The following is a 26,704-nucleotide window of genomic DNA, read 5'->3' as shown; positions in this document are numbered from 1 at the left end:
CAGGAGGCTCTGAAGCCACCACTCCTATCGCACTACTCACTATCCTCACCCTGGGCTAAAGCCCCTTGCAATTAATGAAAGAAAGGAAAATACATCAAATAGAGGAAAAAACAGGAAGAAGGAGGAGGAGAGGGAGGCTTTAGCTACAAATAGTGCTACTAGAGGTATTATGATATCATGTGTGGAAAATTAGAGAGTTATACAGTGCCAGATTTTCCATACAGCAAAGCAATCATTTTGTCTATGATCCTGGAATCACACATAACAGAGGATGTGAAAAACTGGAGGTTAATCATCAGAAATTATTATGGCTTTGGGTGTCACTCCTACTGGTGTTCTCTCCCTCCTGCTCCCCATGGCTCCCTTGCAAAGAGCTGCAACTAGCAATTTGAAATTTATACACCTTCACGGGAGAGATGCCCCATCTGCAGCATATCCATAACCTCCCAAGGCAAAGCTGCCATTACTTACAGTATAATCAGTAGCACAGCAGGTGCAGAGAGGAGGAGAGAGCTAGGTACATATTACTAAGAAGCCTGATGAGTCCAACATACTGCTCTTCTCTAACAAGTATTGCCCCAGGAAATTTAAAATAGCACATATCGATGTGCATGGCATACATCTGCTAAACCCATGTGGTGTTTGATTGGACAGATCAACACCAACCTAGCCTGCATTTTCTCTCCAGCTTCCTTCATGCTCTGGCTAGATCAGTTTGAGCACAGAGCCCAGCATAAACTCTGTCTTTAGAACGTTTGGCTGGTTTCTTACAAAACTACCCACATCCCTAAATTCCCAGGTTTTCCCCTTTCCCAAAAGCTTCAAGTAGATAACTGAAAGAGAAAATTATATTCTTTTCCCATGCCATCATCTTTTTAGACTAGTATTCTTGTCTCGTACCATGGTCTTTTAGTCTTGAGACTAGTCCCTCAGCTAATGAAGAGCAGAAAAGTCTTATTTTATAAATATTTTTTATTAGCATTTATGCTTCAGAAGTAGAGAATTCTAGTAAGAAAAGTCAATAACAGGCCAGGCACAGTGGCTCACACCTGTAATCCCAGTTAGTCGGGAGGTTGAGGCAGGAGAGTCGCTTGAACCTGGGAGGCAGAGGTTGCAGTGAGCCGAGATCGTGCCACTGCACTCCAGCCTGGGCAACAGAGTGAGACCCTGACACACACACACACACACACACACACACTCAATAACTAGCACAATTAAATTGCAAACTGTTCCACTCTCTCCCGAAATATTCAAAGCAATCTATCTAGGTGCAGCTTTCAGTCAGTTTCTCCATCTCATGAACATTGTTCTCAAAGGTGATAGGTCTGGAGAGAGACGATAATTACAGCAAACCCATTAGCTACATCTCAAAAAGACAGAGTACACTCAAAGTGTACACACTACTGACAATTTATCCACACTTTTTTCTTCTATGTGAAGGATAACACAGGCCCTCATCCACAGCGTTGGAGAGAAGCACAGGTTTGGAATTCAAGAGTTTTTAATTCTAGTCCTGGCTTCATTAGCTAGAATTGTGACCATCAGCAAACTCCGTAACTTCTGTGGATTTTTCTTCAACTTCAAAATAAAACAGATGAAATAACTTCTAAAGCGGTGCTTCTAAAATTTTAAGATGCAAATGAATCACCTGAAGATCTTGTTAAAATACAAAGATTTAGAATGGACTTGACAACCTGCATTCCTAATGAACTCTCAGGTGATCCTGATAACTGTCGGCCCCATGGACCATACTCTGACAGCAAGGTGCTGGAGCACTGGTCATAAACTTGGCTGTGCAGTAGCATCACGTGAGTAGTTTAAAAATACCAACACTCACGCATGCGCCTCTGTGCGTTTTCCGCATGTTGGTTCCATGAGCCTGGCCTTAGGTGTCTCGTGTCTGGGGGTGATCCCAGCTGTCGCTGCCGCCGCAATGGGCAAAACTGCGGACTCTCCGGGTTCGGGAGCCCGACCCGACCCGGTGCGGAGCTTCAATCGCTGGAAGAAAAAACACAGCCACGGGCAGAACAAAAAGAATCAGTTGAGGAAGCAACTGAAGAAACCCGAATGGCAGGTCGAGCGCGAGGGTAACAGCCGCCTCATGCAGAACTATGAGAAGATAAATGTAAATGAAATTACAAGATTTTCAGATTTTTCCTTGTCCAAAAAAACATTGAAAGGTTTGCAAGAAGCTCAGTACCGTTTGGTAACTGAGATACAGAAGCAGACCATTGGATTGGCTTTGCAAGGTAGAGATGTACCTGGAGTGGCCAAAACTGGATCTGGCAAGACTTTGGCTTTCCTTGTTCCAGTGCTAGAAGCCTTATATCGTCTGCAATAGACCTCAACAGATGGGCTGGGGGTTCTCATAATATCACCTATGAGAGAACTGACCTATCAGACCTTTGAGGTTCTCCAAAAGGTAGGAAAGAATCATGACTTCTCAGCTGGTCTCATCATTGGTGGAAAGTATCTGAAACACGAAGCTGAGAGGATCAACAACATAAATATACTCGTGTGCGCACCAGGTCGGCTTCTTCAACACATGGATGAAACGGTGTCTTTTCATGCTACTGCTCTCCTAATGTTAGTTCTTGATGAAGCATATAGAATCTTGGATGTGGGCTTTGCTGATACCATGAATGCTATTATTGAAAATCTCCCCAAGAAACGTCAGACTTTACTTTTCTCAGCAACACAAACTATATCTGTAAAGGACCTTGCACGCTTGAGTTTGAAAAACACTGAGTATGTCTGGGTTCATGAAAAATGCAAAATATAGCACCCCTGCCACTTTGGAACAGAACTACATAGTCTGTGAGCAGCAGCAAAAAATAAGTGTGCTGTATTCCTTTTTGAGAAGGCACCTGAAGAAGAAGAGCATTGTATTTTTTTCCAGTTGCTAAAAGGTCTGATATCTGTACCGAGTGTTTTGCCAGCTACGTCCTGGTATTTCTATCCTTGCCCTCCATGGTCGATAGCAGCAAATGAGAAGAATGGAAGTCTATAATGAGTTTGTCCGTAAGAGAGCTGCAGTACTCTTTGCTAGTGATGTTGCAGCCAGGGGGCTGGATTTCCCGGCTGTGAATTGGGCTCTTCAGTTTGATTGTCCTGAGGATGCCAACACATATATTCACAGAGCAGGTAGAACTGCCAGGTACAAAGAGGATGGTGAAGCTTTATTAATTTTGCTTGCCTCAGAAAAAGCTATAGTGCAGCAGCTTCTTCAGAAGAAAGTACCTATAAAGGAAATCAAAATCAATCCAGAAAAACTTATAGATATCCAGAAAAAATTGGAATCTTTTTCAGCTGAAGATCAAGATTTAAAAGAAAGAGCTCAAAGGTGTTTCATCTCCGATATATGATTGGTATATCTGATGAAGGATAAAGAAGTATTTGATGTGAGCAAGTTACCTATACCTGAATATGCCCTGTCTCTTGGGCTTGCTGTGGCACCATGCATAAGATTTCTTCAGAAAATGCAGAAACAACCCACCAAAGAATTGGTAATGAGCCAAGCCAATAAAGTAACTGAGCCAAGGGCTCCCTCCCTCACCAATGACAAAGTGGAAGAATTTAGAGCCTTCTTCAATGAGAAAATGTCCATCCTTCAGAAAGGTGGAAAAAGACTCAAAGGGACAGAGCACAGACTGGCTAATGATACTAGTGATGAAGAACAGGAGGAAGAGGAAGATAATGAAGAAGAAATGGAAGAGAAACTGGCAAAAGCAAAAGGATCTCAAGCTCCATCTCTTCCTAACACCAGTGAAGCAAAGAAGATCAAGGAAGTTCCTATGCAGTTCCTGGACAGAGATGAGGAGGAAGAAGATGCTGATTTCTTGAAGGTGAAGTGGCACAATGTGTTTGGATTTGACTTTAAAGAGGAGAAAACATTACAGAAGAAAGAACCTTCTAAATCCAGCATCAAGAAAAAAGTGACCAAAGTTGCAGAAGCAAAAAAAGTAATGAAGAGAAATTTTAAAGCGAATAAGAAGATAACATGTACTGATGAAGGGGAGTTGGTTCAACAGTGGCCACAAATGCAGAAATCTGCCATCAAGGATGCTGAGGAAGATGATGACACGGGTGGTATCAACTTAGATAAAGCAAAGGGAAGACTTCAGAAAGAGGACAAATTTGACAAAGAAGAATATAGGAAGAAAATTAAGGCAAAGCATTGGGAGAAAAGACTGAAAGAAAGGGAAGCCAGAAGAGAAGCCAACACGAGACAAGCAAAGGCCAAAGATGAAGAGGAAGACTTTCTGGATTGGAGTGATGATGATGATGATGGATTTGATCCAAGCACACTCCTAGATCCAGATAAGTACAGAAGCTCTGAAGATTCAGATAGTGAAGATATGGAAAATAAAATGTGATACCAAGAAGAAGCAGGGAATGAAAAAGAGGAAGAACAGTGAAGTGGAAGATGTAGGACCAACAAGTCATAACAGAAAGAAGGCCACGTGGGACACTTTAGAGCCTTTGGATACTGGCCTGTCTTTAGCAGAGGATGAAGAGCTGGTGTTACATCTGCTAAGAAGTTAAAGCTAAATACTTCCTGCGCCTGCCTTCTCCTTGAAACCTTGGTTATGATTGTGTAGACAAGATGCTGAAAAACAATTGATTTGGGGGCACTTAGGTACCATATGTCCCATTCCCAAAGGGCACATTTCTGGATAGAAGCAATTGTATTTCCAAGTCCCTCTCACAGGGCATGCTTTGTGCCATCACTGAGCATACTCAGATCGAGGATAGATGATACTATTTCCTGACCCCATTTTCCAGCATGTGTTCTGTTAGATTTTTATCCATGGGTTCCTAAGCCTTGTCATTGGAAATGCTTCCTTTGTTTTACTGGCAAGTTCTGGAGCTCTTGTGTCATTGTTAGAAATTCCTGTCTCGCTTACTGTACAGAAGTTTCTATGTTACTGTTAAAATTGCTCATGATTTTGATGTATTTAATATTTGCAAAGAGACTGAGTATGATGGACCAGCCCTGAGAAAGAATGAGTATTTTTGAATTGAGATGATCAATAATAAACATATTTCCTATTAAAAAAAAATACCAACACCTAGGCTCCACACCAGAGTCTGATTTAATGACTATAAGCTGTGTTTGAGCATGGGGTGCTTTGAAAGCTCCCCAGGTGGTTCTAGTATAGAGCAACGTTTGAGGAACCCTGTCCTATTCCTTAAAATTCTAAAATGATGACCTTTATTGTTCAGTCACATTGCATTTGCAGAGGGAAATTCCTTGTTATCTATTATCTCATGACAACCCAGAGAGCTAGCAGGGCAAACACTATTATTAACTTGGATTTACAAAAGAGATAACCAAGCACCCAAGAATCAGGAGAATTGCCTAATGGCATACAGTTAATGGCGGACCTTCTGCTACTAGAACAACTAGAACATAGCATTCCTGATAAACAACCTGTGTTTTCTTCAGATTGCTTTGCACTGGCTATGCAAACCAATAATGACAAAGAGAAAAAATGATAGTAGCTTTTCTGCCCCAAATTCCACTAAAAATAATATGAATGACAATGTAACAGAGAAATATATGCAACTAGTGAAACAATTAAATGTGTAATTGGTGGAGGAGCTACTTGCCTGCTGTGGGTGATACTTACAAGCACAGTAAGGTTGCTAAGGGTATGTCAGCAGGACCAGCCATTGGACATCAAGTGAGCACAGCTAGATGGATTAATGCAGTACTAGGAATACAACAAAATGTACTGGGGCAATGCCATAACAAATCCTGGGCAAGAGACCAGAGAGTCTTCCATTTGATAAAACTAAGAATTCGTTGGAACTTGTTGAGATAGCCATCCCACTTCTAAACACTGCAAAACCTACACACACAAACAAAACAAACTTAAAGTTCTGGCTTTGGAACTAAGGCAAATGGTGGGAATTAATAAACAACCAAGTAAACAGGAGGTAGAAAAGAAGAAACTGGTATTTTTTAACGCTTACTATGGACCAGCCAGTTGTATGAATTATCTGGCCTTACTCTTATTTGTAAGGTAAGCTTTATTATTCCCATTTTACAAATCAGAAGGTGAGTCACAGAGTTTGTCTGTTACACCAACTTACATTTGAATGTCAGAGGTGGGTTTAAGCCTAGGTCTGCCTGATTCCAAACCTTTCATGTCCTTTCTTCTATCCAAACTAATTCCTGTAACTAAATCAAATATTTTCAGGTAAACTACTGTTCTTCCCAAAATCTTCATCTTGTCTATGTAGCAGGGACAAAATACTATAATAATGTCATAACTTGTTGATCCTGTTATTCCACAAAACAATAAAAACACTATTTATAGATTTGGCCAAAACAAAATCAAAAACAAAAACATTTCCATTGAACTTCTAGCCTTTTGGCTTTGCAAAAGTGAAGCCCAAATCCTTTTCAACAGAGGCTGAGAAATTGCACTCTCAAGGTCAGATGTGGCCTACCAACATGTTTCACTTGAAACATACAATATCAACCCTCATAGTGTTTTTTAAATTTTGGAATTAAAAAACAGTCACCTCATAGAAATGGGAATTCCTGTTGTCTCTCCAAATAGTAGGAAGAGTTGGGAATGCCCCACTCATGCTCTCATGTGGTGTCAACAGCTAAATCTGAGTCCTAGGTTCTCTGTAGGTGAAGCATCTGTTATCCACTTACCATGGTCCCCATCTTTCCCTATTTATTATATATGTCAGATAAATGTCATCCCACTTAAGCTAAATATTTCCTAAACTTTTTCCTATCAAAGGTTGTGTTAAAAAGTACACCCAAGAAGTCCAACCATTTATTTCAAAAAAAGATTGAAGACAGCATACATTTTCTTATACCAAGCCCACATCACCCATATATATATATATATATATTTTTTTTTGGAGATGGAATCTTGCTCTGTCGCCCAGGCTGGAGTGCAGTGCCACAATCTCGGCTCACTATAAGCTCCGCCTCCCGGGTTCATGCCATTCTCCCACCTCAGCCTCCTGAGTATCTGGGACTACAGTCGCCTGCCACCATGCCTGGCTAATTTTTTTTTTTGTATTTTTAGGAGAGATGGGGTTTCACTGTGTTAGCCAGGATGTTCTCGATCTCCTGACCTCGTGATCCGCCCACCTTGGCCTCCCAAAGTGCTGGGATTACAGGCATGAGCCTCCGTGCCCAGCCCATCACCCATTTATATTTACCAGATTACAAAGATATCTGAATTTATAAATCCTGCTTTTCAGGAATGCGTGAGCTGAGAAAACCAGATGCTAAACTCTTCTATCTAATAACATAAAAGGCCTTCTTAAATAGAGGTAGAGTTTCATCTGAAAAGGAGGTTATAGGTTTACTGCAACATGGACCACAGCCTGGAGGTAAAGAGAAAGTGTTTTGTTATTCTTTTTTCTTCACAGTTAGCCCAAGAGAAAGTTGGGGTGTCAGGTCTCTGAATAAAGAAAACCTGGTCAAAGGTTCTCACTCCTGTTGTGGAGGTAAACACTGCCACTGGGTTGGAACAGAGAAGAAGGAAAACCAGTAGACATCATCCTGTAAAAGAATATGGCCTCTGAACTCTAGGAGTTATAATAGGCAAATTCATATTTAAAATTTTTTTCTGTGTTGTAATTTCCTGAATCACCTGCAGCTCTTTAGTAGAGTTTGCAAAATGTTTGCGTTTAACCATAAGTATGCTGCAGAGGGTCAGATGAGGGGCTTGTTTTCACATTTGGAGCAAAGTTGCAAGGGAGTGTGGAAGCAGCCTGGAGAAGCTGCCACAAGACTCCCAAATCCATCCCCCAAAATTAGATTTGGAAAACAGAATGTGTTCCTTGGGGATTTCCAGATACAAGAGGGATGAAAACCTGAAGACAGGTCTTCCTGTGGTTATGCTGAATGTGGCAGTGGGGAGATCTACTATTACTATTCAGATACAAAAGGGGCCTGTGGGCCCTGATACCCAGAGGACCTAGGGATACTTGGTTTACTAACAAACACAGTGGCAGTGAAACCTGATCTGTGCCATAGTTTCTCTCTCTATAGGATGCCTCCAGAGCTGTTTATATGTAAAAATAATAATAAATAAAAGAGTTATTAAAATAATGAATGATATTATATGTGTGGCATGAATGGTATATGTCTTCTTGATAGGTTTTAAGGTTTTTCCAGGCATGTAGCCAAGAAAAATCCAAAAACTGGAAGGAAAAATCAGTGTTTAATGGAATAAAAGTGTGACTAGTGTTTCAAATTACTGTTTGAACCTGTGTAGACTGTGATGCATTTATCTTTGCTCCCTATATATCTAGTACACAAATTCTTCACACATAGTAGGAGCTAAATAATTTTTCATTTTAATTGAAAAAATAAAAATTATCATGAGTATCTGAGAACTATCTTAGTTCTCAGACAGTAAGAGAATTAGTACCTGAGAACTAAGATAGTTGTTCATAAAACTATATTCAGAAAAATTCTGGCTTTCTAGAAAGACATGTCATGGGAATTCTGAGAGATGTCTGCAGTAATTCACAATTATTACTAACAGGATGTAGGTGCTGACAGCTAAGTAAGTCAAGTCAGCTTCATCAGCTAAGAAATCAGCATTGGTGCTAGACACTTCTTTATCTCATGCAATCCTCAATAACCCTACAATGTGAATATTATTCAATTTATAAATTATTACATGGTAAAGACCTTTGTGGCCCTCCTGTATTTTTGAAAATATAAATGTATTTGCAATGCCAAGAGCAAATCATAGAAAAAGGTACTAAAGGCAAGAAACAGCTATTCATGACCTATTACTAAAGAAATCAAAAGATCTGTTCCTCACATTTGCTTGCTCTTTTGGAACATTCATACTGGCCAGAGCAATAATTATTGATAAATGAGCTTCAAAATCATTCTTTGGCACAACAGATCAGTAATAACATCTGTGAAAATGTAATATCACAACATAAACACTCGAAGCCACAGAGAAGAAAATAATGCGGTTTGGTGTGGTTTCATTTAGGGGAGTGCATTACATATTTTTTGAACAAGCCATTCTCTCTATAAAACCCAGCTAGCAAATCTGCCTTGCCTATTATCATTGTGAGAATAATGTAGCAAACAGATGGAGGGTTTCATACAATTTGTTGAACTAAATTTAACAGGTTTGGCTGTGAGTGTTAACTTATTTTTATATTCTATTTGTGCTGTGTTTGTAATAGATGCACACACATGAATAAAAACAGAAAATCTGTACACCTAGTACAGCTGGTTTGATAATGTTTTTATTATAGCACCATATACTTCTAATTATAAGGCTTTATATTTGGGCCACCAAGAAATTCTGGCTGCAGAGCTGCTTATGTGGCATTCACATAACAAAAAATATAAATACCATAGAAACATTTGAACCCCTCCTCCACTGATGGCACCATATGTGAAAGGAACTAGGACCATAGTCATTAAATTAATAATAACCTACTAAATAAATGAACAATCGAAGAGCACACTACAACACTTAATAGGTGGCATTCATTTGGCTTACAGGTCCAAGTAGGACTCATCGGTGACAGATGAAACATAGAACACTATGTCAAAAATATGAGTCCAGAAAATTGAGTGCCATTAAATGTTAAATGGTAGCAAGAATCCTCAAACTTCAACTCAACTTTATGATGTGAATTCTACTGTTAAGGAAGCTCTCATTTTATCAACACAAGGAACCAATTGGAACATAACTGAAAAACCATTTTTAAGCAATATCCTCCTAAAATTACTTATTAACTCATATTACCCTGTGATCATATTTCCCATTCATTGAAATGGCAGGATGGAAGCTATAAAAGTAATGTATGTGATTGTATCGAGAAGTAAAGAGTGCGAGTCATCAGGAACCTCTCCTCTACACCCAAAAATAAGATGGACACATAGGAGACACATATAAACACAGTCACATACACACCAAAGAAGATCCAAGTGGGGGAAAAAATAGCAAGGTGCAGGTCCACATTCAGAATTTTACATTCTCCAGGGATACAATAATATAATATACATGAAGCTGGCTTAAGAAAAAGCCTTCTAAATTTATTTGAATTAAACAGTCCTTTATTTAAGTAGACTGTACTCACCAATAAATTGCAACATATTTTGAATTTGCACCTCTGATGTTTGAAAAAACATCTATAATTAGGAAACAAGGCCTGAGCCCTTCTTGCCCTCAATTAAAGTCCCTGCTCTCCTTGTCAAGGCTTCACAGTTCCTCTTTCTCTTATGCTTGACAGAGCAAAGGGAGGTGAAAGAGTCACTGATTTTAATCTCACTAGCCTTTCCCCAGGTGCCAGCCTTAGCAAGATTTTTATTATTGAAGAGGAATATGACACAATCTCATTCATCTGGCAGGTCCTCTTAAGCTATTTTTGTTTGAATATTAATAGTAACAAAACAAAGTTAAAGTAATGGTATGGATCAGACATGGACCACCCAGAGACTATGTTCTTTAAAGCTGATCAGAAGTTAGATTTTTAACACTTTCTAAAGCAAACCAGTATCTGTTACAAAGTAAGAAAAGTGATTTTTACATAATAATCATAGATATGTAGTGATATAGGAAAATGAGATAGAAAACAAGATATAGACTGAAAATAAAACAAAGTGAAAAATTTGCTTGACAAAGTCACCATTGTTCCTGTAGCAAAAAAACCTAGTCCATTCCACTGAGTTTATCTCTTGTCTCTGGACAGTAGGAATTTACCTTCAGTCAATCAATACTCAGTAACCTCTCTGTATGGGGCGCAAAAACTCCCAAAACATTATTTTTAAAGTGTTTAAGTCCCTTTTAATTATATTAATAATAAATGGCACTTTTTGTTTATTCAGTGTCTTTATATTCAGAGATCCAGGATTTTTTACTGAAATTCTCAAATTCAACTACCTTATTATTAACTCTCAATGACTTTTTTGTTTAAATTTTCTAAGAGTATGTACCCTTATGAGTATTTTATATTTTTAAAATTCCCTTCTAATGCTCATCATCACTGGCCATCAGAGAAAGCAAATCAAAACCACAATGAGATACCATCTCACACCAGTTAGAATGGCGATCATTAAAAAGTCAGGAAACAACAGGTGCTGGATACGATGTGGAGAAATAGGAACATTTTTACACTGTTGGTGGGACTGTAAACTCATTCAACCATTGTGGAAGACAGTGTGGCGATTCCTCAGCGATCTAGAACTAGAAATACCATTTGACCCAGCAATCCCATTACTGGGTACATACCCAAAGGATTATAAATCATGCTTCTATAAAGACATATGCACACGTATGTTTATTGTGGCACTCTTCACAATAGCAAAGACTTGGAACCAACCCTAATGTCCAATAATGATAGACTGGATTAAGAAAATGTGGCACATACACACCATGGAATACTATGCAGCCATAAAAAAGGATGAGTTCACGTCCTTTGTAGCGCTTGGGAGCAAACTATCGCAAGAACAAAAAAACAAACACTGCGTGTTCTCACTCATAGGTGGGAATTGAACAATGAGAACACTTGGACAAAGGAAGGGGAACATCACACACCGGGGCCTGTTGTGGGGTGGGGGGATGGGGGGAGGGATAGCATTAGGAGAAATACCTAATGTAAATGACGAGTTAATGGGTGCAGCACACCAACATGGCACATGTATACATATGTAACAAACCTGCATGTTGTGCACATGTACCCTAGAACTTAAAGTATAATAAAAATATATATATAAAAAATAAATAAATAAAATTCCCTTCTAAAAAAATCCCTTCTGGTAATAATCTTTCTTTCAATTACTGTTAGCATTAAATATTTTTTAAAGCCATAATTGCCCATATTCTTCATCTTTCTTTGTATCTCTAGATTCTATTTTTCTCCCCACTTCTTACTAAGAATCTTTATGAGGGATTTTTTTTCTTTTTTAAGTCCTCTGAATTACTTTAATTGCTCAGTTTTCTAAACTATTCTTTTTTTTTTTTTTTTTTTGAGACAGGGTCTTGCTCTGTTGCCCAGGCTGGAGTGCAGTGGTGTGATCTCAGCTCATGCAACCACCACCTCCTGGGCTCAAAGGATCTTCCAACCTCAGCCTCCCAAACAGCTGGAACTATAGGCATGTGCCACCACTCCTGGCTAATTTTTGCATTTTCTTTTTCTTTTTTTTTTTTTTTGTAGAGATAGGATTTCGCCACGTTGCCCAGGCTGGTCTAGGACTCCCGGACTCAAGGGATCTATCTTCCCCTCAGCCTCCCAAAGTGCTGGGATTACAAGTATGAGGACCCCACCTGGCCTAAACTATTCTTTATTGCCTTCATTCTCTGATTCTATCTTCTTACTTTAAAGAATACCTTTAAGTGTTTATTTCCCAATTTGTGCCTACCCCTGTATTAGGATCTGTGAGAAAAAAAAAGAAGTAGAACCCAGTGTTTCTGCCTTTTAAAAGCTTACTACCAAGGACAAATATTTGGAACCCTTTGAAATTTTTATTTCTTGCTGAAGACATAAGACATCCGTACAAACAACAGCAAAGGGTTTGTCATCAAGTTCATATGTAGTATACATTAAGCTGGTTACAGATGTTTCTAGAAAGAAAACACATAACTTCTTCTCAACCTCTCTTGAGATTCATATTTCTAAGTGTCACCAAGATAAACCATAGATGGGTCAAATTCAGAATGTTTAAAATCAGTATCAGCATTTCCACAAACTCCTGTCATTGCTCCAGTTTTCTACACCTGAATTAGTAACTATTTTAATTCACCAGTTCAGTCTCCTATAAGTTGTCCTTAAGGATGAATTCTCATTCTCCATATCTAGAATGAGGTCTGGTTGATGCAAGCTTCTACATACCTCTCAACTCTGTCCCCACTGCCTCCCTTCTCTTCCCATTGCCATTGCCTTAGTGAAAGTGAACCATCTTACTTCACATGGAGCACTGCTCATTCCTCTTCCTGCCTATCCACAAGCAGAAAGATCTTTCTAAAACATACATGGCAACAGAAAACAGCCCACTGATGGTTCCCTGTGGCCTACAGGATAAAGTACAAATCCCCCTTTTCAATCCCTAGAGCCTGTCCCCAGTTTAACCACAGCCTTCCTTTCCAACCTTGTTCTAGCCTCCATTCATGTGCACCGTACATTCCAGCTTCTCATCATTCCCTGCACATCTCAGGCTTCTTCACAACTCCAAACTTCTACTCACTCTGTTCCCTTCAAGAATGCCCTTCTCTCATCAAGAATCCCCTGAATCACAATGCCTCTTACAGGACCGAGCTCCAGTGAGAAACTTTTTACAAATCATTCAACTACAATTAGTCTTCCCCTGCTTGTCTTCCAAAGAACTGTATCCATGTCTCTAGCACAGTGTTTTTCACATATAGTTCACATATATTTAAATAATTTATACCTTCTTCCAAACTCTTCAAATATATAAATTTGGACATTCATATTTAGTCAGCAGTATCTAATACCATGTCTGGCATAATAGCTAGCCAACAAATTTTGAATGAATAAATGGATATGGATAAATTACAGACGGCATTAAGACAGAATGTGGAACTTCAAGATTTGCCTGAAGAAATAAAAGATTTAGTCTGTTGAGGAGGCCACAAATACTCAGGCCTCATCAGAATGAACCTCATTACAAAAATGGCTTATCTAAAGTTTTTTTAGATAAGAAAATAATTTTCCTTCTCTAAATGCAGTCCGTCTAATAGCAGGTCTTCAGAACTATAAAGATCTGATGGATAAGAAGAAGAGAATTGAAATCTTCACAGGTCATTGGGTCTATTATCAAGTAGAAGTTATCTTTCAAATGCCTCATCTATGCCCATCAACTGCAAGAAGAGGACATTATAATTCTCCAACTCCCACCACAAAGAAAACTAATATAATACTCAGGAATTCCAAGGAGCTTAGAGGGACAAGAAGGTGAGTACATGGAATTTTTCTCATTTTCTTGTGAATTCAGAGTATACTCTTTTACTCATTAATTTACTTCTGAGCTATTGTGCACCATCTCTATTTCACCTCAGCTCTTTCAGACACACAAATCTGGAGAAAGGGTTTGGAGGGGGAATATTTCATATTTAGTCAAAGCAATGAATATTTTGAGGTGGCTGTAGACATCTATTGTGATGATTTTAACTGGAGTTATCTTGTGCAAAGGCAACAAATGTTTTCTCCCTGGAAAGGTTTTTCTTGGCCACTGAGTTTCCACTTCCAAAGTAGATTTGGAGACTTGGGCAAGATTTGTATCTCTCCCATCTCAAATTTCTGATTTTATCTAGATCAATGATTCTCAAAGTATGGTCTGGGAACCTCTGGGGATCTGTGAGACTATCAGAAGGTATGTCAAGTCAAAACTACTTTCCTATGAGTAAGAAGATACATGTACATTTGAGTTTTCCAGAGTGATATTGCAGCAGATTGAATGCAGTGGTAGATGTGAGACTCCAGCTGTCTTTCTGACAGACATTAGAGATTTGCAGAAATATAAATAATGCCACTTTTCTCACTAAATATTTTTGTCTTAGAAAATAATTATTTTCATTAAAAATATGCTATTTATGAAAGCATTTAATAGGTTTTTAATGTATTCATAAGTAATTTTTAAGTTTGTTAGCTTTAATTTCTAATATTATTAATATCAATAGATACAAACTACATAAACACGACCTCTTTTTGGTCCTTAATAATTTTTAAGACTGGTAAAAAGTCTTGATATATTTTTTAGAATGATTGGTATAAAACTTGGGCTAAACAAAGGTAAAATTGGCAATTTTTCGTTCCCAAGCCAAATTATTCAAATTACTCTTAAAACGCTTATTTCCAGCAGAGCTTTCTAAAAGACCTAATTTCAGCATCTGACTCTTTCATTAACTTGTTGGGTAACTTCAGCCATGTCAATTAGTTGTTTGAGAATTGTGTTTTTTGAATCATCTGTAAAATGAGAATAACAATAATAGCTTATTGGATGTTACTAAGTGACTGACATTTTTCCCAGTGCTTCATATGTATTAATCGCTTAATCCTCATAACCACCCTGTGAAAAAAGTACTTACTATATTATCCCAACTTTGCAGAGAATAAAATAATTGAAGCATAGAAAGATAAAGTAATGGGTCCCCTAGTCAGATATCTAATAAGCATTAGAACTAGGATTTGAACCCAGCAATATGAGTTCAATGGGTTCATTATATATATTGCCTCTTAGATCCCTTTAGCTGTAAATGGCTGTAAAGAGACAGTGTCTCAAAGAATGCATGTCATATACAATGAGTGCTGATCTCCAGGCTTTCATCTTTAACTTTGTAAAACCTGCCTCCCCTGCCTCTTTACCTTTTTGCTTTGCCTTATGTCTCTTCTTGTAAGCTCTTTCTCTAATATTATTTTCCAAATATGATCCTTTAGAAACATACAAAAAAAGATCATCATGTTACTCTCAGTGTTTATGACAAATTTCTCTATTTGTAAAATTCTGAATGGACCAAGTAAAATATGTCTACGGTCTGTGACCCATAGGCTGTCAGTATGCAAACTCCGATATAATGGAACCAAATCAATCTCATTTCATATGATTTTATAGTACCACATTTCATGTGATATTAAACCATAAATGTGGAGGTAATTATGCAATTATTAAAAAAGAGTAGCAATACAACTACTACCAGTTCATAGAATGAAGCTACTTGAACAGACAGGAACTATCTGGAGAACATATTATCCGAAATATTGACTCAGAAAACCTGTGAAAAAGCTGAATGAGAAAGCACCCGAGAAAAAGCAAGGGGAACAATGGCAGGAGGAAGAAAAAGCAAATCATGTCATTCCCTGACTCAAAACACTGCAGTGACTTCCAAATTCAGTTAGAATAAAATCCAACTCTCAATCACTGTCTACAAGACCTTACACAGTCTTCCCGCATACCACTGTTACCTGTGATCTCTACACTCTGGTCAGGCAGGCTTCCTTTCTCTTTCTTCAACATACTAAACCCTACTTGAAGGTCTTTAAATTGTGATTGCCTAAGCCTCAGATATCTCTTTTCCCAAATCTTCAGCTCAAAGTCACTTCCTTTAAGAGGTCTTCCTTAGCTGTCTAATGTAATAAGCACAGTCAACCCCACTCCCTGCATTATAACACTCCATTTTATTATTTTAAGGCCTATCTAGACTAGCTGTAAAGTATCTTTATATATTGATTTACTTGTTTATTTTTCTGTGTTCTGCTAAATGCTATACAGGTAACAGGGAACTTGCCCACTCTATTCCCAATAGTGCCTGGCATCTAGAACGTACTTAATAAGTGTTTTTGAATGAATGTTGAATAAATGAAGGACTCTGAAATATGTGCTGATTATGCATAACCATGGAGTCATAGGTTCTTATATATATGGAGCCACTGCAGAAAAATATTTTTCATCCTTCTGGGGATAATTTCTTTCCCCTCATTGTCCAAAGGAAGGAGGCTTACTGCAGTCAAGATTCCCCAAAATGTATGAATAATTGGCCAGAGAGATGAGATATTGAGAGACAAGATCTAACAGATACTCTGACTAAACTCTGTGGAGAGCTTCTAGATGCATTATTGATTATGCATGCATTCAGCCTCTTGCTGTTTGCACATCAGCATTTGCACCAATGAATAAACTCTGGGAGGATCTTTCTGAAACTATCTGAACAGAAGTCATTTATTACAGCAATTAAAAGTAAATAAATATGGTCATGAGGTTACTGCAAAAGAATGATATTTATTTAGTACAGTCCTTAAGGAGTTATATTAAACTTTGTATTCTTGAGATGACCCTTAGATTTAACACATTAGATAATATCAGGCCATATTTTATTAGAAATAGATGTTTCTCTTTCATGTCAGTGCACAGTAGATAATTTGAATAAAAATATATTGGCTAAAGAAACAGTGAGCTAATAACTGCTTTTGATCTGGGAAATTTGCCAATCTTGATGGCATCAAATGTGCATTGTATATTAAGAAAAGTTATTATCCCTCTCTATTTAACTTCCTTATTAAGAACTTTCCCACACAATCTGAGGAGATACCTGAACAAAGAAGTACAATATTAAAATATCTTCTCCACTCTTAAACTCACAAATAGAACTCCTACCCTACAGGATTAACTTATCGTTCTGCTCATTTGATGATGCATGACATCCTTTGAAAGTCAATGTGTTTTCAATAACTCTACAGGGTGTTAGTCCTAGAGCTTATTCTTCCAGAATGTACTTCCTGAAAATATAATCTTTATGAAACCATTGTGGGATCTTGGGTCAACCCATACAAATGGAGTTCTACTATCACCAGTCTATGGAACCTGGTTCACAAAAGGTGATCTGTTACTACTTTAATAGCTAAATCCAGTCATCTTCATTTCATCCCATCCTTTTGCTCACAACCAACTTTCTCTCTTCTATTATTTTTTCACTTTTATCTTAGGTTCGGAAGTATATATGCAGGTTTGTTACACAGGTAAACTGTGTGTCTCAGGGGTTTGGTATACAAATTATTTTGTCACCCAGGTAATAAGTATAGTACCCAATAGGTAGTTATTTTTATCCTCTCCCTTCTCCTACCCTCCACCATTGGTGTCTGTTGTTCCCCTCTTTGTGTCCACGTGTTCTTGTGTAGCTTCCACTTATAAGTGAAAACATGCAGTATTTATTTTTCTGTTCCTGTATTAGTTTGCTTAGAAGAATGGCCTCCAATTCTATCCATGTTGCTGCAAAGGACATGATCTGTTTTTTTTTTTGTTGTGGTTGCTGCAAAGGACATGATCTGTTTTTTGTTTGTTTGTTTGTTTGAGATGGAGTTCACTCTGTTGCCCAGGCTGGAGTGCACTGGTGCCATTTCGGCTCACTGCAACCTCCACCTCCCGGGTTTGAGCCATTCTTCTGCCTCAGCCTCATGAGTAGCTAGGATTACAGGCACCCGCCACCACGCCTCACTAATTTTTGGTATTTTTTTGGCAGAGACGGAGTTTCACCACGTTGGTCAGGCTGGTCACAAACTCCTGACCTAGGTGATCCACCTGCCTCAGCCTGCCAGAGTGCTGGGATTACAGGTGTGAGCCACCACACCTGGCCCATCTCATTCTTTTTTATGGCTGCATAGTATTCCATGGTGTATACGTATCACAGTCTCTACGTTCTTTAAGCTTCTGAAATCCAGCACATTCCAAATCTTCACTGAGCCTCCAACGCTCATTTTTGTCTGCTAGATCTGCTCTTTAACCTTTATAACAATTTGTAGAAGTGAAATATGGCCAACAAATGTCAATAAAGAACAAGGAAATGATCACTCCATTATACAGAAAAGCCTATATATAGAGAAAGAGAGAGTGTGTGTGTATATAATATACATATATGTGTACATATATGTATACATAGTATATATAATATACATGTAGATGTATATACAGTGTATATATAATACTGTAATATATTATCTATAGGTATATATATTACAATATACATTTGTGTATATATACACAGTGTATATTATATATAAATTTGACATTTGTGTATATATACATATACATATGTATATATAATATACACTGTGTATATATACACACCATTATACACAGCATATCTATAGATATATACACACACATAGAGATATAACATACTGTCTATATATAGTAGACTATATATATACCATATATGCTATATATAGTATATTATATATACTATGTATACTATATAAATATATATAGCATATATAAATATATAGCATATAAATATATATAGCTTATAAATATATATATAGCAAATAATATATATAGCAAATAAATATATATAGCATACATAGTGTATATAGTATACTATATATAGACAGTATGCTGTATACATACTATATATACTTTATGTGTGTATATATCTATATATAGATACACTGTGTATAATACAGTCTGTCGATATATATTCAGTGTTATATATGCTGTGTATATATATACTATGTATACCATATATTTACATATATATTGTGTATATATAGTATACTATCTGTAGACACATTGTATACTCTATATATATGCTGTGTGTGTGTGCGTGTGTGTATATATATATATATATACACTGTGTGTGTGTGTGTGTGTGTGTGTGTGTGTGTGTGTGTGTGTGTGTATATATATATATATATATATATATATATATATTGCCTAAACAGTTGTATTAGTCAGGGTTCCCCAGAGAAACAGAACAAATAGGATGTGTGTGTGTTTGTGTGTGTGTGTAGAGAGAGATCTTAAGGAATTTTCTCATATGATCATAGAAGCTGGCAAGTCCAAAATCTGAAGGGTAGGATGGAGACCCAAGGAAGAGTTAATGTTGTAGTCTTAAGTCAAAAGGTAATCTGGAGGCAGAATTATTTCTTCTTTGGACCTAAAACCTTTCTCTTAAAGCCTTCAACTTACTGGATGAGTCCCACCCACACTACAGAAGGTAATATGCTTTACTTACTTATTTAAATGTCACTTACATCTAAAAAATATTTTCACAGCAACTTCTAGACTGGTGTTTGACCAAAAACTGGGGACCATGGCCTAGCCAAGTTGACATAAAATTAACCACCACAACAGTTAATATTATTCCAGTTTCACAGATAAAGAAATAGGCTTTGTAAGGCTTATTTAACCAAAGTTACCATCCACCACATGTTGGAGCACACACTAGAAGGTAGATCCTTTTGCTCCTCATCATAACACATTCCATTAGCTGCACTGCATGTTTGTTACTGTATTGCAGAAGATTTTAATTTTTGTGAGAGTAAGTTTTACATTCCCTCCAATAAGAGACCCAAAATCCAGGCTTATTTAGCTCTGACTTGATAGCCAAAGACCTACACCTGCCCAATGTCAAGAGCACAGAACTTGTGCTCAAGAGGTGACTACTGACACATATAATGTGAGCCTTTCAGGGTAAACTAAGACATCAAGTTTGGAATGTCACTCAAGGGAGTACTTCAGAATTCACAAAACTACTTCCTTTCAACATGAATTTCCAAAATTCAAAAGTATTTTGGAGTGCACAGAACCAGACATTACAGAACATAAAGGTTTATATCAAAAATTAAGTTTGATGTGAAAGACAATGTCAAGAGAATAAGAAGATAAACCACAGACTGGGAGAAAATATTTGCAAAGGACATATCTGACAAGGGAATGTTATCCAAAATATACAAAGAACTCTTAAAACTCATCAATAATAAAATGGAATAAACCAATTAAAAATGGTCAAAAGACCTAAACAGACACTTCACTAAAGATATATGAAAGCAAATAAAGCAAATGAAAAAATGCTCAACATTTTGGTGTACATTATATGGGTTTTGGCATGTGTGTGTGTGTGTAGACTGATAAATAACAAAATAGTAGTCAGCCTTCAAAAAGAAGGAAATTCTGCCATTTGCAACAACATGGTTGAATCTGGAGGACATTAAGCTAAGTGAAATAAGGCAGACACAGAAAAGCAAATACTGCTGGATCTCACTTATATGTTAAATCTAACAAAGTCAAAATTCACAGAAGCAGAGAGCAGAGTGGTAGCTACCATAGACTGGGGGTGAGGAAAATGCAGACAAGTTGGTCAAAGGGTACAAAGCAACAGTTATGCAGGATGAATAAGTTTTGTAAATCTAATGTGAAGCATGGTGACTATACTGTATTGAATACTTGAAACTTGCTAAGAGAGTAGATCTCACCAAAAAAAAAAAAAAAAAAAGATAACTATGTGATGTGATAAGTGTTAATTAGCCTGACAGTAGTAATCATTTCACAATGTATACATATATCAAAACATCGTGTTACACACCTTACATATATACAATTTTTATTTGTAAATTATGTATTTTACAAATTTCTATTTGTAAATTATATCTCCCAATAAAACTGAAAAAATAAAGTGTAAAAAAGAAAAAAATAAAAATAAAATGTAACAAAGAAAGAAAAGACATGGAGGAAACTTAAATGCATATTTCTAGGTGAAAGAAGCCAATCTGAAAATGCTATGTACTGTGTGATTACAACTCTGTGACATTCTGTGAGGACAGATCAGAGTATCCATATGATACTATAATTGTGGATACATGTCATTATATACTTGCCAAAACCCATAGAATGGACAACATCAAGAATGAACCCTAGTGTAAATGACAGACTTTAAGTGATAATGATGTATCAACGTAGAATTCATCGATTGTAACGATGAATTACATCATGTGCCCCAGTGGTGCTGATAGTGGAGGAGGTTGTGAGGATACAATGGAACTCTCTATACTTTCTGCTCAATTTTGCTGTGAACCTAAAACTGCTATAAAAATAGACTATAATTAAATGACAAAAAAGAACTTCAGTTTTGAGAATAAAAAGTAAGAATAAAAGTGTAGACTAAGAGACTACAAAGTAGAGAAGTGCGTAAAAGAATACCTTCAAATAGTGATCTGTGGTGAGTTGTAGCAGGAAGCTTGTTCCTATAAATCAGGATATCTGGCTTCTAATCTCAACTCTGTTATCCACTAGGTGGTTTGATCTGGGAAAATTCCCTGTCCGTGACTTGTCTAAATAGCTCATTAGTGGCCTGACCTGAACCCATAGTTTTGTCTATTTACAGTCCTCCCCCATTATCTAAGGTTTGACTTTTTGAAGTTTCAGTTACCCACAGTCAAGCCTGGTCTACAATATTAAATGAAAAATTCCAGAAATAAACAATTCATAAATTTAAATAGCACATCATTCAGATTAGCATAATGAAATCTCAAGCATCCTGCTGTGACCCACTCAGGATGTCAGTCATCTGTCTGTCCAGCATATTCATGCTATACGTATACAGTAACCACTGTTTAGTCACTTAGTAGCCGTCTTGGTTATCAGAGTGCCTGTTGAGATACTGAAGTGCTTCTGTTCAGGTGACTCTTATTTCACTTACAAATGGCCCCAAAACTCAAGAATAGTGAAACTGGCATATTTGTTATAATTGTTCTTTTTTTTTTTTTTTTTTTTTTTTGAGACAGAGTCTTGCTCTGTCTCCCAGGCTGGAGTGCAGTGGCGCAATCTTGGCTCACTGCAAACTCCGTCTCATGGGTTCACGCTATTCTCCTGCCTCAGACTCCCGAGTAGCTGGGACTACAGGTGCCCGCCACCATGCCCGGCTAATTTTTTGTATTTTTAGTAGAGACAGGGTTTCACCATGTTAGCTAGGATGGTCTCGATCCCCTGACCTCATGATCCACCCACCTCGGCCTCCCAAAGTGCTGGGATTACAGGCGTGAGCCACTATGCCCGGCCAATGTTATTTCTATAACCAATGAGAATTCCTGACAAATCGCTTTGTATCAGCCCACTCCTTGTCTCCCTTTTTTGCTTTTAATAAAGGCTATATAGAGTTCCTATCCAGGGTTTCTTGGGTCTGAGTCTTTTGGGCAGCTGTCCTCACTTTCCTTTGTTGTTGTTGTTGTTGTTGTTGTTGGAGAGACAGGATCTTGCTCTGTGGCTCAGGCTGGAAGACTAGAGTGCAGTGGTACAATCAAAGCTCACTGTAACCTTAAACTCCTGGGATCAAGTGATCCTCTCACCTCAGTTTCCCAATTAGCTAGGACTACAGCATGCACTACCACGCCTGGCTATTTATTTTTGGTTTTTGTAGCGATGGAGGTCTCACTATGTTGCCTAGGCTGGTCTTGAATTCCTGGCCTCAAGCAATCCTCCTGCCTTGGCCTCCCAAAATGCTGGGATTACAGGTGTGAGCCACAGTGCCCAGCCCAGCCTCTTACTTTTAGGTCAACAGAAATAAGCACATTAAAAGATCTGGTTCTGCTCCCATATGTAAAGAGCCTGGATTCTCCCACACTTACATGAGTTTTACCTCTAGGAGCCCCACCAGGTGCTCACTGTGAACAGAAAATAAATTCCTTTGTGCACCTGGCAGGGAGAGAGGGAAAGTTACCATTTGACATACAACTAGAACGTAGGGCTCTGTTTAAGAAAGACCTGTCCTCAAAAGGAAATACTTAACAGACCTAGGGGAAGGGCAATTACACAACTCAGCCCACACTAGACTTCCTGTCTCACATAAAGGGTTAAAAAAATGGCTATGAAATTCTTCTAAAGGTCAGAGCCCAGGGACTCAGGCCTACTAGACAATGGATATGTAATCATAAAATTACACACTGCTTTCCCTCTACAATGCCTTACCACCACATCAGCAGGGTTCCAGTATAATAACTGTGAATTATAACTAAGAGAGCAGCGATTGTTCATTTAAGAGGCACCTTAAAACAACAATATCAAAATATTCCTACCATTCAGTAGTCTATTTAATGGGTATGAGGAGACCTCAAGCACAATTTGGACTCAAACATTGCATCCTTAAAATATTATTTAGCTAAAGCTAATGTAAAATATGAGGAACTATCTCCCTAAACAACATCTTTAGACAATATTCCGAATTAGCTCCCAATGTTGACAGTTTTAGTGCCCCTTGGACATTTTTCTTGATGGCCTAAAGCAGAAAGTTGCAAACATGGTATGTAAACAAAAAAGGGACTGAAAAAAATTATCCCATTGTATGAACTTCAACATTTTGTAAACATTTTAAAGAGGCTCGACATAACAAAAACAAACAAACAAACAAAAAACCCTCATAAGCAAATGTTTATCCTCTTTGTCTAAAAGAGAGATCATTTTGGTTAACATGCGAGGCACCCTCTACTTCATCTCCCTATTTGGGGCATTAATAATTCTGGCTTTCTTACTGAAGTAAAATATACAAAACAAAACTTACTATTCCGGCCATTTTAAAGTGTACAGTTCAGTGGTGTTAAGTCTAATACATTAACATTGTTGTAAAACCATCACCACCATCTGCGTCCCAGACATTCTTTTCTTCATCTTCCCAACAGAATTTTTTCATGTTCCCAACTGAATCTATATCTATTAAGCAATAATTTCCCATTCCTTGTACACCCAAACCTGGAAACCAACATTATGCTTTGTCTCTACAATTTGACTACTCTAGGTACCTCATATAAGTAGAATTATATGGTATTTCTTTTTCTGTATCTGGCTTATTTCATTCGGCACAACTTCTTCAAAATTAGTTGATATTGTAGCATGAATCAGAACTTTATTCCTCTCTAAGGCTGAGTAATGTTCCCTAGTATTTATATACCCCCTTTTGTCAATCCATTCACCATGGATGGACATTTGGGTTACTTCCACCTTCTGGTTATTGTGAAATGCTGCTATAAACATTGATGTGCTAGTAATAGTTTGAGTTCCTGGTTTCAATTCTTTGGCGGTATATACCTATCTAGAAGTGGAATTGCTGGATCATATGGTAATTTGATTTTTAAATTTTTGAGGAACTGCCAAATAGTTTTTCACACCAGCTTCACTATTTTACATTCCCACCAGCAATGCACAAGTGTTCCAATTTCTCCACATCCTCATTAACACTTGTTGCTTATTTTTTTTGGATAATATACATTATAATGGATGTGAAATGGTATCTTATTGTGGTTTTGAATTAAATTTCCCTAAAGATTAGTGATGTGGAGCATCTTGTGCATTTGTGTATGTTCTTTGAAGAAATATCCATTCAAATCTTTTGCCCATTTTTGAATCATCTTGTTTGTATCTTTTGCTGTCAAGTTTTGGCAGTTCTTTATATAGTCTCGATATTAATCTTGTATCAGTATGTATGATCTGCAAACATTGTCTTGCAATCCATGAGTTGCCTTTTCACTCTATTGATAGTGTCCTTTGATGCACAAAATATTTTTATTTTGATGAAATCTATCTATTCTTTTATTGCCTGTGCTTTTGGTGTCTTTGATCCAATAAATCATTGCCAAACCGAAGTCAAAAAACTTTTCCTTTATGCTTTTTCTTCTAAGACCTTTATAGTTTTAAGTCTTATGTTTAGGCCTTTGATCCAGTTTGAGTTAGTTTATGTATATAGTATACATAAGGGCCCAACGTCACTCTTTATATATGGATACACTGTACCCAGCTTTCTCAACACCATTTGTTGAAAAGATTGTCCTTCCACATGGTCTTGGCACCCTGGTTGAAAATCATTTGAACATATGTACAAGGGTTTATTTCTGGGCTCTCTATTCTGTTCTTTTTATTTATATGTCTGATATCTGTCTTCCTTTTTTTTTTTTTTTTTTTTTTGAGACAGAGTCTCACTCTGTCACCCAGGCTGGAATGCAGTGGCATGATCTCGGCTCACTGCAACCTCCACTTCCTGGGTTCAAGCGATTCTTCTGCCTCAGCCTCCTGAGTAGCTGAGACTAGAGGCACATGTCACCATGCCCAGCTAATTTTTGTATTTTTAGTAGAGACAGAGTTTCACCATGTTGGCCAGGCTGGTCTCAAACTCCTGACCTTATCTGCCCACCTTGGCCTCCCAAAGTGCTGGGATTACATATATATCTGTCTTTATGCCACACTGTGTACCACGCTGTTTTGATTGCTATAGCCTTAAAGTAAGTTTTGAAATCAGGAAGCATGAGTCCAACTTTATTCTTCTTATTCCAAATTGTTCAGGCTATTTGGACTTTCTTAACACTCCTTATAAATGTTAGGATACGTTTTTTGATTTCTGCAAAAAACATCATTAGAATTTAAACAGGGATTGCACCGAACCTGCAAATTGCTTTGGAAAGTATTGCCATCTTAAGAATATTAAATGTTGTAATCTGGCTGGGCGCCATGCCTCACGTCTGTAATCCCAGCACTTTGGAAGGCCAAGGAGGGTGGATCATGAGATCAAGAGATCAAGACCATCCTGACCAACATGGTGAAACCCCGTCTCAATTAAAAATACAAAAAGTAGCTGGGCGTGGTGGCACACGCCTGTAGCTCCAGCTACTCGGGAGGCTGAGGGAGGAGACTTGCTTGAACCCAGGAGGCAGAGGTTGCAGTGAGCCAAGATCGCACCACTGCACTCCAGCCGGGTAACACAGCGAGATTCTGTTTCAAAAAAAAAAAAGGAAAACTGCATGTCCTGTACATGTACTCTGGAACTTAAAATAAATACTTAAGTACATAAATAAAATTTAAAAAAATAAAAAAAATCTTAATTGTATGTGGGTAGGTCCCTTTGATTGAAAGTGAGATAGAAGGCTGGCCACAGTGGCTCACACCTGTAATCCCAGCACTTTGGGAGGCCGAGGCGGGCGGATCACGAGGTCAGGAGATCGAGACCATCCTGGCTAACACTGCAAAACCACGTCTCTACTAAAAATACAAAAAGAAATTAGCCGGGCGTGGTGGCAGCGGACACCTGTAGTCCCAGCTACTCGGGAGGCTGAGGCAGGAGAATAGCTTGAACCCGGGAGGCGGAGCTTGCAGTGAGCCAAGATCACGCCACTGCACTCCAGCCTGGGTGACAGAGAGAGACTCCGTCTCAAAAAAAGAAAAAAAGAAAAAAAATAGTGAGATAGAAATAATTTTTTTAAACTTACTATTCAAAATTTGCAAAACTAAATAAGAGTAAAAGGAATTTACATTTTGTTCCTGGATTGATATAAGACAAAAACATTGCGTGGGAAAGCTGGAGTTGAGGACGAACGAGATTCTGAGAATAAAAATCCCTGGTACATAGCCAAAATTTCAGAATCAACTTCAGATTTTCAAGGGCTATAAAGTAGGTAACTTCAAGCCACCATCTCCAACAGA

General features: G+C 37.8%; 1 long non-coding RNA gene and 1 pseudogene across 1 annotated transcript in view; one reads left to right on the top strand and one right to left on the bottom strand.

Moving 5' to 3' along the window:
* The window catches only part of LOC105376107 (uncharacterized), a 378,142-nt gene that overhangs the window by 264,685 nt on the left and 86,753 nt on the right, over positions 1 to 26,704 (bottom strand). The gene's annotated exons all lie outside the window — the stretch shown is intronic.
* DDX10P2 (DEAD-box helicase 10 pseudogene 2) lies at positions 1,852 to 5,061 on the top strand (annotated as a pseudogene).

This window comes from Homo sapiens, chromosome 9, assembly GCF_000001405.40.
Source record: "Homo sapiens chromosome 9, GRCh38.p14 Primary Assembly".
Classification (NCBI taxonomy): domain Eukaryota; kingdom Metazoa; phylum Chordata; class Mammalia; order Primates; family Hominidae; genus Homo; species Homo sapiens.
The sequence above is the reverse complement of the archived record's forward strand: the minus strand, read 5'-3'. Positions and strand labels throughout refer to the sequence as shown.